This window comes from Homo sapiens, chromosome 13, assembly GCF_000001405.40.
Source record: "Homo sapiens chromosome 13, GRCh38.p14 Primary Assembly".
NCBI classification, from domain to species: domain Eukaryota; kingdom Metazoa; phylum Chordata; class Mammalia; order Primates; family Hominidae; genus Homo; species Homo sapiens.
Window position 1 is genome coordinate 105,630,409 of NC_000013.11, and position 17,408 is coordinate 105,647,816.

The following is a 17,408-nucleotide window of genomic DNA, read 5'->3' on the forward strand; positions in this document are numbered from 1 at the left end:
GGACATAATGCACCCAAGTTTGGGGGCACAGTAGGGGATCTGAAAAATGGAGGCTTATATAGCTGACTTGAGGCTGGGAGCAGCTCAGGAGAGCCATGAGAAAACCCTCTAAGCCAAAAAGCTGTTGCGGAAAGCTGGGTAGAGTAGGACAGCAGTGGGAAACACCTCCAAGGCTCCCGGGGACTTCACTGAGTCCACTCAAGCCTCAAAGGCTCAGAGCTGAGCAGCAAAGCGTAGAAATCTGAGTTGTGAAAAGGCTGGGTGAGCAACCAGACAGCAAAGAGAATTCACTGGAAGCCCGGACTCAGGGAGTCAGCAGCTGGGTTATAAAGCCCAAAGAGAAATCCGAGGCTCTCCCTTGCTTAGATCTCATGCCCTGTTAAATGGAAGGGATCGTAAAAAATTACAAGACATGAAGAAGCTATATATATATACATTATAGGATGTATAAACATAACTATGCCATATGGGCAAGGGAAGAAAGAGAAATAGAGGCAGTTCCAAATATAGATGTTGAAATTATCAGAGAGGAGTTTTATATTAAATATAATAGATATGTCAGATAATCTAACACTATTTTTAGACAATTTTTCAGAAAAAAAATGAAGAATTTTAGCAGAGAAATAAACACAACTAAAAAGCCAAATGTCAAGAATAGGGAAAAAAAATAAAATATTGAGATGGGGAATTAATTGGACAGGTCTATTAGTAAACTGGCATACCAAAGAAAAGAATCAGTAAACAAGAAGATAGATCAATAGAAATCACCCACATTGAAATATAAGAAAAAAAAAAGGAGGGAGGGAGAGATGGAGAGGAAGAAGGAGAAAAATACAGAAGAGAAGAAGGAAAGGAGAGCCATGCCTGTAATCCCAGTACTTTGGCAGGCCAAGGTGGGTGTATCATCTGAGGTCAGGAGTTCGAGACCAGCCTGACCAACATGGTGAAACCCCATCTCTATTAAAATACAAAATTAGCTGGGCATGGTGGCAGGCACCTGTAGTCCCAGCTACTCGGGAGGCTGAGGCAGCAGAATCACTTGAACCCAGGAGGTAGAGGTTTCAGTGAGCCGAGATTGCACCACTGCACTCCAGTCTGGGTGACAGAGTGAGACTCCTCTCAAAAATAAAATAAAATAAAATAAAATAAAAACGAAAAGGAGAGCCATCTGAGATGTGTAGAAAATATTATGCCATCAAATATATTTACGTTAAGGGTCTTGTAAAAAGAGGACAGATAATGAGGTAGAAGACATTTTTGAAGAGAACATGGGTGACAATTTTCTAAATTAGATGAAATATATCAACTCACATATATAAGAAACAGTAAATACATTCAAATATAACAAGAACTAGGCAAACGATCATCAAATCGGTGATGAAAACCAAACATGAATAGAAAATCTTGAAAGAGGCTGGAGGAGATAAAAAACACGCATTGTGCTCATAAGATGAATGAAACTAGAAGACCATAAAATGTTTTTAAATTGTTGAAAGATGGCCGGGTGCAGTGGCTCACGCCTGTAATCCCAGCACTTTGGGAGGCCAAGGCGGGCAGATCACAAGGTCAGGAGATTGAGACTATCGTGGCTAACACTGTGAAACCCCGTCTCCACTAAACATACAAAAAAAAAAAAAAAAAAAAATTAGCCGGGAGTGGTGGCGGGCGCCTGTAGTCCTAGCTACTCGGGAGGCTGAGGCAGGAGAATGGCATGAACCCGGGAGGCGGAGCTTGCAGTGAGCCGAGATCGCGCCACTGCACTCCAGCCTGGGCGACAGAGTGAGACTCCATCTCAAAAAAAAAAAAAAAAAAAAAAAAAAAGTTGAAAGATAGTAGAAGATAAAAGACTGTAAACATGATAGCAAATATCCTGAGACAATGCCTTAAAAGCATTTCTGTATATTTTTATATGTTCACCAGAAAAATCTGAATCGTCTGGAGCAGACCTGTTCTATAAAAAATGCTGAGGTAACTTCTTCAGGCTGAAGAGGAAAAATACCAGGTTGGAAGGAAGAAAAAGCCCCAGAAAGGGTAAACATTTTTAAAACAACAAAAATTTCCAATTAAATATGTGGATAAATATAATCACAAAGCTTTAAACTACATAAATGTAACAATTTAAAAAACTGAAGGAGAATTACAGAAAAGACTCCAATCACAGACATTAAACATGCTTTTTCAGCAATTAATATAACTAATAGAAAAAAATTAATAAGGACCTAGAAGACTTCAACAATATCAATATTAGTCTAAATGACACATATAGAACATTATATTCAACAATTGAAGAATACACTTTATCTGTTCTATGCATATAAAACATTCCCTCAGGTAGATCACCATCTCAACCACAAAGCAAGTTGTGATAAATTTAAAAGGATTGAAATAATACATGACATTTTTCTCTGACTATAATGGTATTCTATTAGAAATCACAAACAATAGTATAATATATCTGTAAAAATTCCCAAATATTTGGGAAGCAACATAATTTTAAATAATCTGTATGTAAAAGTGGAACTGACAAGGGAAATTAGGAAATATTTCAAATTGAACAATAATAAAAATAAACCCTATAAAATTTTGAAAGGTAAAATTTGAAGAATACAGCTAAATCAGTTGTAAGAGGAAACTTTCATCTTTAAATGCCTATATTAGAAAATAAGCAAAGTCTAAAATCAGTTATCATCTCTGCTTTTATCTTAAAGATAGAAAAAAGCACAAATTAAACCCAAAATAAGTAAAGGAAATAAAATATTGATGGGAACTTATAAACTCAAAAGAGACAAACAAAAAGACAATGTTATAAACCAATTTAATACATGGAGAAACCGTAACGGGCGTCTACTACAATGTGTTATTTTCTGGGAGTGCTGCTTGTTCAACACTTCTCATTTTTCCCTGGAGTAGACAGAACTCTCACCTCCTAGGCATGTGCAGCTTCTTGTACCCTGCTCACAATTTCCTCTGATAAGAATGATCTTGCTCTGCTTAAAGAAAAAAGAATGCTTGACTCATTTTCATTTGGGGTTCTCTCTTTTTTGGAGCCATCCTCGCCGTTGGACATGCATGTTATTTGCTGCTGGATGCTGAAAATTTCTAAAGACTAGCATTTCACAGTTGTTAGGAAAAAAGCCTGCCAATTTAGTAATATGTTTAATTCAAGAGAAAAAGTTGGGAAGCCCAAATGTATGATCACAGTAGTGAGCCACCTTCTTCAACATCTGTAACAAAACTGGTATATATTGATCTGCATCACTGTGTTTTCTCCATAGTTTCCAAATTCTAAAGGAAGGTTCTGGCTGAAACCCCGACACTAGCCAGTCCAGGCAGTGCCCTGCCCTTTGTGTCCGGAACCTTTCTGCCCTTCTTTCATGTTGGCCCTGCATTTTGACATCCGTGATGCCCTCTTGCATGAAGCACTTTACTTCTCTACATTCTCTATTTGAACTAGATAGAAAGGTCACTCATTACATAAAGTGCAGAGGAGGATCAAGGAATCCAAAGGATATAGAAATTTACCCTCAGGTGATGCTAAGCACTTTATTAAAACTCTCACCAGCTCCGATTGATGACAAATATCAAAACATGAGCAGCAGGAAAAGTTAAATATAATTCATTATGTCATTGTTGGAACAATTCACTAAGGTGAGAGTTAGGGACTAAGATGACGCAGACTCCGTGCCTGTGTCCATATCTTCAGCATATTTCACTGTTTCTGAGGCTGACATTACCTTTAAAATCATCACCAGTTTACCTACAAGTGGTGGAATGGAGACTGTCCTGGGCTTAAAAACTTGTGAGAATGTGTGTGATGACTCAGAGTGCAAAATGCTCTTTGCCAAAAAAATCATCCCCACATGACTGAAATTTACCCTCTGAAGGCTACAGAATACTCTGGTGACTTCTGAAGTGCCAGTCAATATTCTGGAATTCCAAACAGTTAATGCAGATCAAACAGGGCAGCATTTGAATCCCATTATTGAGTGAAAAATCTCAATAATCACAACTTCAGATTATGCATTAATGATTCCAGTACAAACTGAGGTGCGCCAAGGAACAATGCATCTCAAAGTATGCTCGAAACACGTGCTTACTGAACCCAGATGCGGCTGGTATCACATAAATATAAACACTGAAAATATTTTTCTATAAGAGGATAAATTAGGGAAGTGAGGTTTTATTCTTATTCAGTTTTGGTTAATTTTCTATTAATGTACTCTTTGATAGAATTGAAAAAGTGAAAATAAGATGCTCCGGACAACTACAAACATAATATTTAGGCATTACCAAAGTATTACATGAAATGCTAAGATCAAGTTGTAGAGTTACATGTGTGTATTAACCACCTGTTTCTTGTTGAAAAGTTGAAAGCATGGCAGTGTTCAGAACTGCATAGCAAAGATCTGGGTTAAACTGACAAAAACCAGGAAATTCGGAGTTAACTTTGTCACATCATATTTAGAATGCCTCTGATATAAAAATGAAATAAAACCACTAATGTTTGATGTCATATTTGTAAATAATATTGAAATGTGAAATCACTCTGTAATGTGTATGCCACTATTCTTGCCCAAAATTTGTTTTCCACTTCTTAGGTAAAATATAGAATACTCTGAACCAAAAAAAAAAAAAGCAATTTTTACAAGGCAAAGTCAGCCAGCCAACTGTAGAGTTGAACTGTTTGAAGTGACTGTATTGTCTAAGGCAGAATGGAGTTGAATCATAAAACACATGGAAATCGTTTCCATCAAATGATAGGACAAGAAAGGTGTCCTTGGATAGCTTAGCATGATGAATATAAACTGAGCATCAGGAAATTGATCTCTAATGCAGGTGTCTTTCATTTAATTTTTTCCCAAGGTAAGGTCATTGAGGAACTATTGTATAATTCTGTTAGGGAATTGGGATATTATCAAGTGTTTCTTCTTCACAAAAAAATTCCTATTAGAATATATTACTTGTATATATAAATAGAACAAAGGTCATGTTATAAATATAGTACAAGCATGATAGAATGAAATGAACCTAATTATTTCTTTAAACACTTGTGAATATTGTTAACACTTAAGGGCACAATTCTCAACAGCGAAAATCTTTCTATTCCACTCTTATTTGCAAGAAAAAACTGAAATATATGATATTACCAGCTGATTAAAAAACTCTCCCTTATGAGTTAGAGAGAAAACTATAATAAATGTGCCCTGACATAGCAATTACCTATTGTGCTAGATGCAGTGTATATATGACATATAGATATCCACATAAGCACACACATACAAACAAATGTTTGTGTGTATATGTGTATGTGTGCACATGTAATATAATACATCTGTTCCTGCTCTCCAAGACAGACTCTAAGCGTTGAATGAAAGATTATGTTTTCCACTAGTGTTAGTTTTAGAAGAGATGAAAGATTTCTGCTACTTAGAATTTTACCTCCAAGGCTGTTATGGACTAAATATTTGTGTGCCCCAAAGTTCATATTTTGAAATTCTAATCCTCAAGGTGTTGGTATTAGGAGGTGGAGACTTTGGGTGATTAGGTCATGAGGCGGAGCCCTCGCGAATGGGATTGAAGCCCTTGTCACTCCAGGAAGTCGCTGCTATCTGCCACTTAAGCATACAAGGAGAAGTCAGCAGTGTGCAGCCAGAAGGATGGTCCTCAACAGAAGCTGTCACCCTGATCTCAGACTTCCAGCCATCAGAACTGGCTGAGAAATAAATGTCTGCTGTTAAAGCCACCCAGTCTATGGTATTCTGTTAGAGTAGACAGAACTGACTAACACAAAGTTTATGTTTTTGCTCTTAGTAAAAACCTTTGTCTTAAATATGTTTTATCATGGTAAATACCTCTTTGTGTCTTAAATATTAATATTTATACCACATTTTTTCAGCCTGATGGACGTTACCAGTGTTCACCAATATTTCTGGATCTCCTGTGTTTCCTGGTCAAATGGCCTTGTCTTCCTGAGGATAGGCTCAGGCATGACTATGTGATGTGCTTTGACCAATAAAATGTCAGTAGAAGTGACGTGCATCATTTCCAAGAGGAAGCATTTCAGAGGTAATGTATAAGTCTTAGAAAAATGTATGATTGGCATACATTTGGAAAGGAAATGGCAATAATAAAATTACAAACATCCACATTTTAGTATCAAAACACTTCCATCTACATAGAAGCCTGAATAAATTTTTCTTCTTTCTTAGAGAGTAGTTATGGATGTATGAATGCAGGATGAAATAATGGATGTGTGAATGGATGGATACATAGATGTTTGGATGGATGAATAGATGGACAGGTAGATAAATGGATGAATTGGTGGATAGATGGATGGTTGGAGTGCTGACTATTTCATTATAAAAAATAAATAAAATTGAATATTGAAAATGCCCCAGCTTACAAAGGATATTTTCCTCCCCTTTGAACTCTAAAAATATACTTATTTTCACGACCACATATTTAATATTTACCATATATTAAATCAAAGACATTGTTTTTAAACAGTATTGATAATTGAGAATGTCTTTTTCTTCATCTATACTAAAAATTTGGAAAGGAAAAACTACCTGCCTTATTTCCATGTTATACTCCCCTACATGAAGCTACATTTCATCGTAGAAAAGGATTTTGAAGCCATCAGTAGATTCAGATTGTATAAGCGTACTTCATTTTTGTGACTGTAAGTAAATTATTTACCTTAAGTCTCAATTTCTTTATCTGAAAAAAGAGATAGTATCTGACTTAAATATTTGTTAAAATGTCATACATATAAAGCACCTAGCACATATTAGGAGATCATCAAATATTAAGTTTTTTTTGTATATCTCTCACTCATAAGCTTCATGCAAATTGATGGCTTTAAAAAGAGTTGGGTTAATAATTTAATAAATATGAAATGAAGTTACCTAATCCATCATCATTTGTGAGTTATTATGTTATTTGAGACAAATGTTTTAAGTTGAACAGATGGTTGTCTGTTCAATCTAGTCTGTGAGCTATAAATTTTATTTTTCTCACTAGAGATTTCCCTGAACATTTAGTGATTTTAAGTTATTTTTAAGATTTAGACAAAAAATAATTTTATAGAAGAATTGCAAATTTTGGCATAGACTCTAATGTCTTTTTTATAGCAAAAAAAAAATCTACATTTTAGGCAAAGGATTCAGAGTGATTAAACCTAAGAACATTTAACACAATGCCAATCATATTTGGTAACATGGTGGAAATAGTATAATCTTTCATATTGAACCAATGAAAACAGGTGCAGAAGATATTCAGTCTTGCATTTAGAACTTCAAATGACTTAAAATGCCCTCCTGAGAAGCATACTTTAAGATAATGTTAGTTAGGGGGATAATGTCAAATTGGTGGCCAACTTTTTATTCATCTGGTCAACAATTCTCTACTCTGTTTATTTAAAGTGGAATAAGAACAGATTGCAATATTATAAAGAGTAGCTTGCACTAGACCAGCGATTTGACAGGACAGGCTGGGAAAAATTCAAGAGGACTTCTGGAGTTAGAATTCATGAAGCAGTGTGATGAATGACATGTGGGGGAGCAGGAATGGTTGGTGATTGTTGAAATTTCTAGCTAGAGTTATTGGGTAAAATAGTTCCTGCCTTCCCATATTGCTATTGGATTCCTATTGGATTACTTGGCCTCAGAAGTTTTCCCTTGAACCTTCCCTATCTTTATTGCCTAATCTTACATATAGTGTAAAAGGCCAGCAGGATTTAAAGTGTAGAAACTGGATCAACTGATAACCAATCTAAGAAAGCATTCTTTATACAGTACATTTTTTTCTAAAATATTTTTAAAGCGATAATTATTGGATAGGAAAGGGGAATACTTAAGGCTAGATTTATCTTGATTTGAAACTTAGGGATGGAAAGTAACTGGGAACCATCTTCTGTCAAAAAAAAAAAACCTCCATAAATATGAAGATTATTAAATCACTCTCCAGCTCCCTCCTCTCCAGGATAAAACACACCAATTTATTCAACCACTCTTCATAGTCTCAATTATGCGACCCACGAGCCATTTCCATTCTTTTCTTTTAAACTCTTTCTTATAAATACTAACTAAACTAACTGAAACTTTTCTCACACCCATACTTTACTTCCGTACAGGTGAACAAAAGACAACAACTTTAAATACTAAGTTTCAGCATTAAGCCACCAGACTCCTGAGGTTCTGGAGCTGACTCACACCAGCTAGCAAGAGACAGCTGTGGTCAGAATTCAGTTCCATCTTGTGAGTAAATCATCCATGGTTGGAATATTTATATCAGGGAGATTGGCAAATGCTACAAATAAGGCCTTCCCTGACCACCTATGAAAACCTATTGTTAAACATTTATCAGCAGACACCTGCACAAGCCACAAACCTACAAGACCTCTGTGGCCATTCCTTCTATTTCAGTTACCTAATGACAGATATCTACAATTAATTGATCTCAGACTTTAGTAGACTTTGTCTTGGAATTGTACATGATATAGTTCAGATATGTGTCTTCTTTGAGTCTCACACTGACATGTAATCCCCAATGTTGGAGGTGAGACTTGGTGGGAGGTGATTAGACCATGGTGATAGATTTCTCATGAGTGTTGTAACATCATCCCCTTGGTGCTGTCCTTGCAATAGTGAGTGAGTTCTTAAGGGATCTGATTGTTTAAAAGTGTGGCACTTCTCCCTACTCTTGCTCCTGCTCCTGCCATGTGAGACACCTGCTGACCCTTTGCCTTCTTTTTCAAGACTCTCCAGGAGCAGATGTCGGTGCTATGCTACCTGTACGGCCTGAAGAACTGTGAGCCAATTAAACCTCTCTTTTTACAAATTACCCAGTCTCAGATATTGCTTTATAGCAACACAAGAACAACCTAACACACTAAAGAAAATCTTTCCAAACTCAAGGCTCCAAGTTGCCACTGATGTGTGATTAGAATTGGCTCCTGATTGAAAACCTATTTCAAATTTTAGCACATCTCTGATATGTATGAGAAACAATAACTTGAGATCATGACCATGTAGACAGTGAGTAGAATATATAAAGGCCCTTATTCCTGATTCCAAGGAAATTTCACTGTTGCTGTCTTCCCAATATCCGAAGTGTTTTCGTTTAATAAAGAACCACAAAGTTTTCAACAGTACTTCCAGCTTATGCAATCAACTTGTTTGCCAATTAATTTTTCGACCATCTGACCCTCCCTTTAACAACAGCTCCATGTTAAACTCCTTTTTTGCAATGGAAGTTCCTAAGGCTATGACTTTGGTTATTTAATGTTACACAACTCCTTAATTTGTGTAAATGTAGTCTCAGTCAAGAGAAATCTTGGGATCACATGTCCTTTTGTCAACTGAAGAGTGCCATGCAAGGGAACATGCACTTCTCTCTTCTGATTCCCTGCTCTAATTTCTGTCATCAGTATCTTCATTCCTCTCATACCTTGAATTAGTTGCTGGATAAATATGCATGTTTGGACACACAAATAATAGAACGTTACTGCAAGAAATACTATTGCAAAACTAAAGTTAATCCAGATAGGAAAACTGAGCTGTAAGAAACCATGTACTTCATTTTGTATTTCATCTTGATTAATGCTTTATCTGAGTGCAAAATTTTTAATTCACAGAGCTCTTTCCCTGTTATTTGGTTTTTTGTTTTTGCCAAAGCATTTTGAAAGTATTCTGTAATGTCTGTTTTTAAGAGTTAGGTTTCTAGAGAGGCCTAATTGTTATTTTTTGTTGGTAATACTTTTCTCATGTTTAGTTTTTAAGAATATGGCCTTCCAATTTTTAAAATGTATTTTTTATCATTTAAAAATTCTTAAATTATTTTGACTATGTATTTATCATGTACAAAACGTTGTTTTGAAATACTTATATACTGTAGAATGGCTACATCAAGCTAATTAATATATGCATTATTTAATATACTTATCATTTTTATAGTAAGAGCATTTAAAATCTACTCAGCAACTTTCAAGAGTATAATAAATATTATTAACTGTAGTCACCCTATTGTAAAATACATCTCTTGAATTTATTCCTCCTGTCAAACCCAAAGAGAATATGGATTTTGACGTGCTACAATTTCATTACTTTGTGCCTCTGTGCGGATTTATTTTCATTTATTTTTCTCAGTACGAGACACGCACATCCTATCTGAAGGCTCATGTTTTTCTTCAATTGTGGAAAATTCCTTACTTTTTTCAGTATTGTTTCTCCTTTATTCTTTTTATTGTAAACCTCATGGTTATATGTCGGAGTCTCTAAATCTACCCCTCCTATCTGTGAATTGTTCTTTTCTATGTGGTGTGTGTGTGTGTGTGTGTGTGTGTGTGTGTGTGCGCGCGCGCGCATGTACATGCATGCAATTCCTTCGCATATTCCTTGGCATTTTCTCTAAGCTGCATCCTGGGTGAATTCTTTCCTGGATGTCTAGTCTGGAAACTCTTCTATCTATTAAATATTTTTGTTCCATGACTCCACTTTTTCCTGAATCCACAAATTTATTTCTATATGCATTTATTGGACAATATTTTTTGTTCCCTTTGTGGATGCTGTGGTAGACACATCAATGCCCCCTTCCTCCAGGATATGGAAATATGTTACTTTACATAACAGAGGTGATTTTCTGTGTGTGACTAAATTAAGGATTTTAAGATGAAGATTATCTTGGATTATCCAGGTGAGTCCAATAGAATCCCAAGGGTCCTTGCAAGAGAGAAGTAGAAATGTGAGCGACAGAGCCAACGTGATGGATGAAGCGCAGGCTGCAGTGATGCACTTTGAAGATGGAGAGGCAGCCAAGAGCCAAGGAACGCAGCAGCCTCCAGAGCTGAAAAACCAAAGCAAACGATTTTTCTCTAGAGTCTCAGAAAGAAAAGCAGCTCTGCCAACACCTGGATTTGAGCCCAGTGGGCCCCATGTTGGATGTCTAAGCTGCTGTAAAGTAATGAATGCATGTTGTGTTAAGCTACTAAGTTTGTGGCAATTTGCTATAGTAGCAATATGAAGCTCACATGAATGCTGTGTCTTTTTTGGAAGATACTTAACCTATGTAGGGTCTTTTCATATTGTTCTATTTGTTTTAGTACATTTATTTTAACAAGAGGACATCCATCTTCTCTCTTTCTTCCTTTCTCTTACTCTTGCTTTTCTCACTAGTCACACAGGTCTTCTAGATTGCTTTTGCCTCCTTCCTGCCTGCCCTGTGGTCTCCCATCCTGAGCCACATCTCAGTATAGTACCAACCTTTTCCCTGTGATTGCAGGATATGTCAAATCCAACAGGCAGCTTGGCCCAATCTTGGGTGTATGACTGTTTGCTTTTTTATTTTCTGTAAGTAAACCTCACTAAACCTTAGTCCCAGACAATGATCAGTAACACCTTTTATTTCAGCATTATTTTGCAAGGTGGGGGCCAAGACATTGTTTATGTTAAGCAGTAAATTTTGCTGGCCAGTCACGTTATGAGTGGTACTTACAGACCTCGGTGCCCCAGAGTGCCCAAGAATGCCACTGTGAGTACCTGCTTCCAGACCCAGGGCCTGGGATGCCTCCGGCTTCAGCCCTTTTTATCATTGCCTTTTCTTCTTGATTTCTGGCTCATGAACATGCTTATTTTGTTTTCTATCATTTATGCTGTCTCTTTATATTCTGTATCTTATTTTTTTTCCTGCAATTGAGAGAGGATTTCAAAACATAAACTTAAAAAAAAGCAAAAATAACACCTTTACACTCATTGGTTGACAATAGTTTCTTTTTTTTTTTTTTTTTGAGACACAGTCTCACTTTTTCGCCCAAGCTGGAATAGAGTGGCATGATATCTGCTCATTGCAACCTCCACCTCCCAGGTTCACGCCATTCTCCTGCCTCAGCCTCCCAAGTAGCTGGGACTACAGGTGCCCGCCACCACGCCCAGCTAATTTTTTTGTATTTTTACTAGAGACGGGGTTTCACTGTGTTAGCCAGGATGGTCTCGATCTCCTGACCTCGTGATCTGCCTGCCTTGGCCTCTCAAAGTGCTGGGATTACAGGCGTGAGTCACCACGCCTGGCCGACAATAGTTTCATTTTTAAAATAACTCTTGGTAAGAGGCAAAAGAAAATAGGATCTATGTGGCAGCCATGCCAGTTTTATTTTCCTATGCCAGTACAGACTCATGTCGAATCGCTTCCTGGAGCACTGTGTGGAGAAAGATTCCAAGGTTACATCTGTTCTCACTGGAGAATTGTGTCAGCCTTGGTTAATGATCCCTGTTGTGGGCGCTGAGGGAGGACGTGCCCCTCTCTCCCGTAACGTATTTGCTATGATGCAGACTGCACCCTGTTGCGGCAGTTAGGTTTACTTAATGTCATGCAACACAATCAACCCAGTTACATTAATTTTTAGGTGGCCATTTATTATAAAGACATTAGGAATTCACAGGACCAACAGGAACTAGAGAAATATTCTTTGGATGACTCAGGGTAGGTCATCTTGCCTGCACTCCCTTAAGTAGCGTACTGAAGAGTCACATTGACACACTGCAGGCAAAATCTTATAAAAGTGGCATTGGTAAGAGTTGTTGCATTGTCTCCTACAAGGCAGCAAGCTTCAAGCACACGCATGAATGCAGTGAAGAGAATAGCATTACAAATGTAAAACACATCAAACTCACAAGAAGTCCGAGATCAGTATTTTCACACCTTTTTCAGCGCTCCAAGTAGATCCTAAAGAGGATGATCTTAATATTTTAAATTTCCTTTTAGTTTTGTTAAACTAATATTGACAACAAGGTGTGGGGATTTGGCACACCCCAAATTGCAAGTAGATCTATAAATACAAAACATCGCTTGTGGTCTGGCAGTTTCACTATACTTTACACATTTGAGAAATACATTTCTATAGGTTTTGGGGGATGTGTCTACATCTAGATATAGACATATCTATATATCTATAGCTATATATGTAGTTTAAGTTGAAGTACATATCCAAAAAGAGATTAAAATAGTTTTGGTGATATTAAAATTACAGGCTGTTTATTCTTATTTCATAAACAGAACTCTTTTATCTGTAAAGAAATGTGGACATTGGTTTCAAAGATATTATTTCAAAGAAGAAAAAAAACAAAACTATCCCCTAACTGAAATAAACATTGATTAAAAAACTTAGCTGAGCTTGAAAATGTACTTAATAAAGTTTAATTAGTATAATACTATTTCACTATTTGAAATGATTTAAAGATAATTTAAAAATATAGCAAAATGTCAATATTCTTTTAATAATTCATAGCTTGGCCATGGAAAAATTACAATTGTGGTTGTAAGTAAATACTTGTAGAAGGCCAGTCAGTTCATTTATTGTCAAATTCTCTATCTTTGCAATGATCCTTAAAAATGAAAAATACTTGCTTATACCTTAGACTTCACTAGTACTTACATGATGGTATGTGACAAGCCCATTTGCAAACGTTGCAATTGGTTAAAAAATGCAACTTCTAATACCTTTTTCTCCTATATATTCTCTTTTAATAGTCACTGATTTACATGACATACTGATTTAATGTATCTAATCCAAACTGGTACGCTTTCCTTTTAGTGCATTTGGTTTCATATCACAAATCGAATCTCAAGGTTGTCATCTGCTCTTACACAATATAATCTCTAGTCACAAAGAAAACAACCTTGGTCCTCTCTTTCACGCACACCCATAGAATGTCTTTCTTGCTCTCGCTCCTCAAGGCCACAAACACTGAAAGATCCTAATTAAAATACAAGGTTTGACTCTGTTCTCTTCAAGGATTACTGAAGCTAAGAATGTGAAAGTCATAGAGATTAAAAAAAAAATACTCAGGCCCTAACAAAGACTTTCTTTGAGTTTCACAGTTAGCTTTTCTTTTCTGCGGCATCATGCACTCTGGAAAGAAAAAGTTATGATGAAAAAACTGAGAATGTGGACATCATTCAAGCTAGTTTAATGCATACATTCTCATATTAGTTTAATGCACGTATGTCAATGTGAACAGAATTTCAGACAAAACGTCTAAGCAAGGATGCATGCAGAAAGAGCTTTGACATCTAACGACTTCATAGAAATAAGCACACATAAGACACATATGTATTCCCATATCTCTGCACATTTTTTTAATATTTGTGAACATATATTGTATTTTATTTTATAATTTCAACATTCATTTTAGATATGGGGATACATGTGCAGGCTTATTATGTTGGATTCTGTCTTTTAAGACTATCAGCCAAGAAAACAGATGTATTTTCAAGAGCTAAATGTCAAGAGTTACAGATCCAGGTCAAGCTCAATATAATAATAACTTCTCCATGATGTTGAATCATCAAAGAGTTTCTTTTAAAAAATATTCTTCCTTCCTCTTTCCTTCCTTCTTTCCTTCCTTCCTTCCTTCCTTCATTCCTTCCTTCCTTCCTTCCTTCCATCTTTCCTTCCTTCCTTCCTTCCTTCCTTCCTTCCTTCCTTCCTTCCTTCCTTCCTTTTTTCTTTCAGGGAAAATGTATGCATATCAAAAGAAAAAAATGCAACTCTGTGTGGTCACCACTTTCTAGTGATTCTACTATAAATAGACTCAAGCTGATATAGATATAAAGTCATGCTCTGGTCTTAGTGTCTTTGCTTACTCCTTTACATCCTTTATACTAACACACATTTAACCTCATTCACCCATAAAAGGTCTAACACTGATACAGAAAAGAATTAGCTTGATATTAGTTTATATTTTCTACATTTCCCTAATTTTCAGTTTTAGTAACTCTGAATTAATACCACTTGCTTCCATTTTATTTTAAATCTCTCTTTCCACCAAAAAAACATGATTTAATTGAGGGAGAAAAGCCAAAGAATAACAATCAGCCTTTCTAAAGTTATAGCTGTACATGGAAAATCACTGAAAATAAAATGGAAAGAATACATTTGTGTACAGAATACATGATAATGATCTCAAGAAATATCTCTGAGTATCTTTCAAAAATTTTATTACAATATTTCTTCATAGAAATTTAGCCTTAGACTTTCATCACTACTTAGCCACTCATCAGGACCTTCTCTTCTCATCATAAGGACTAGAGAGGTATTTTATGTCATTGAACATTTGATACCTTTGGATTACTTGAGGAATCTTTTAATGTTTGACTTCATATTAATTACCCAAATTCCTTTCACTTTATATAACCTTAAACCCAAAGGCTAAGTTTCTATTAAAGAAATGTTTGAAGCTATGCTCATTTATTTTTACTGTCATAATTGCATGGACACAGTCTCTTCTATCAGAATAAAAAATGCTAAGCTCCACTTTCTGCTCAGCTATGGCTTTGGGGAGATGACATTTGTGAGTGCTAAGGGGCAAATTAGGATTCAGAGGATAAATGACCAGTCCAAGGAGATCCAGCTAGTAAAGATAATTTTGCATTAGCTCTCAGATCTCCTTGTTGTCTTTCCCAAGGTCTAACTACAAAAACATGCTGTCATCAGGGAAAACATGACCTTTAAAATGCATCATGGAAAATTACTTTTAGGGTGATTTTTGTGTAGTTAAATCTATTTTATTAAAATTATACAGAAATGGTCAAAGGTCACATCTAAACCAAACATGTATAACAAAATAGAAAGTAAGTAAAATATCCACATCATTGATATCATGTTGATAAAGCACGTGTTCTAGATGGCAGTCAGAAATTTGTAATGTTCATGGAGGTACGGTCTACAGTCACACACATATTTTTATTCTCCTTTTATGTGACTGTAAGCATGTCTTCTCATACTTGTCCGACGCAGCCTCTTTTCTACTATGTTTCAAACACAACATAAGTAGCGCATCAAAGCAGGAACAAGCAAATACAAATTTGAAATTAAATTAGCCAAAATGCCAAAATTTTACATCTATGAATAAAATTTAAAAGTGAGAAAAGCAGTTTGAAATTATCTCGTACACAGAAGTGAAGAAGCCAGGTTTGAGGCATATCGTGAAGAATTCTGCCCCTCTTCCCCAAAAGACAAGGGTTCGCCAAATTTTGGTGGCATTAATTAGGACTCTTACTCAGAATCATCTTAGTACTCATGACATTGAGCACCAAAACGGGACATTAGACAACAGCCACACAGGTGCAGCTTTAGGACCACAGCGGACTTCCTCAGCACATCTAAAAAAGGGAGCTAGAGAAGATGCACCAATCATAGACTATGAATAAGAAAGATTATAGTTCATCTACTAGGGAAAATACATTTGGGGTATTTCTACAAGCTAAGGGAATAATAGAATACCAAAGTTCAGGTAACTTCAAGGCTGGTAGCTACAACATTGATTCAATATCAGATCTCTTTGGGGAATACTGCTTAGAACCTGAATTCAAATAGAACGGTCATATTTCACAAAGTTCTGATCATAGTTATTATGTCTCTTTATATAGCTTGGATTGTTCAGTCCATAACAAGAGTCCAGTGACCCAGGAACATAACTGTATTTCCCCTGCTGAAGCACAGTTTCATATATGTTGCTGCTTGATCCTTTTCCAAGTTCTTGTCAATACCCAAGTCTTCTAAGAGTGAATATTTCCGTCATAAACAATTATAGCTATCACAGTATCACCTGAGGTACTTCATTTAGAGTGAGATGTTTAATGTTCTTATATAAGAACTACTATAACATCTAAATTTTTTCCAAATGTAAAGCCAATTTAGCATTCAATTCAATCCAGACTGGTTACTCTTCCCCACAAAGCATTTAAAATATCATTTTTCACACAGATTCACATATCCATCCCACTGCACAATTGCCCTATGGCAATTGGACTTTATTTAAAGACACAAAGTTGGCAACAGCATTATAAAGATTTGGTTATAAAGTTTTATTTGAACATTTGCCAATGGAAAAACCAAGACTTCTGAAAATAATAATATTGACTCTAACACAAGGAAGAGATCAATCCTACATAAGATGCTATGGAATAAGAACAGCAGGGGACCCACAGAAAAGGACTGATAAAATTTGAATGATATAAAAACAGTCTTCCCTCACTAAGAAATCTGTCCAGTCCATTTTGGGAGAGGAATTGGAAATTACTATCAGAAAACTACCATATATTATATGCATAGAATATATAAAAATGGACAAAATATTAAAATGGCTGCAACTCATATGACATATTATGGATTCAATATTTCTATAGTTATTTTATATGATCTACATGACATCCTTAGAAAAAAATGCTTTTGGGTTTTTAGATATGAATACTCAGATTTATGAATGTCACCTCACTATAGAAGTCAAAATTTTGTTGCAAAAATTGGACAAAAACAAATTAATGACACCCCATAAAAAATTTCCAAAGCATAATTTTTTCTAAGTGTCTCTCAAAAAACTGTTTCAGACAGTCCAGGTTCATATATATTA

The 17,408-nt window shown here is 35.8% G+C and overlaps 1 long non-coding RNA gene across 2 annotated transcripts in view; it reads right to left on the reverse strand.

Moving 5' to 3' along the window:
• LOC105370345 (uncharacterized) overlaps nucleotides 1-17,408 on the reverse strand; it is a 134,781-nt gene that overhangs the window by 58,333 nt on the left and 59,040 nt on the right. Inside the window, exons 6-7 of one of the 2 annotated variants that reach the window (XR_007063935.1) lie at nucleotides 11,538-11,684; nucleotides 10,478-10,845 (exon numbers count right to left, since the gene is read on the reverse strand). The exons of the other annotated variant lie outside the window; for it this stretch is intronic. This is a non-coding gene — a long non-coding RNA (uncharacterized LOC105370345). Of the gene's footprint in view, nucleotides 1-10,477; nucleotides 10,846-11,537; nucleotides 11,685-17,408 lie in introns of those variants that run through there. 2 annotated transcript variants of the gene reach the window in all.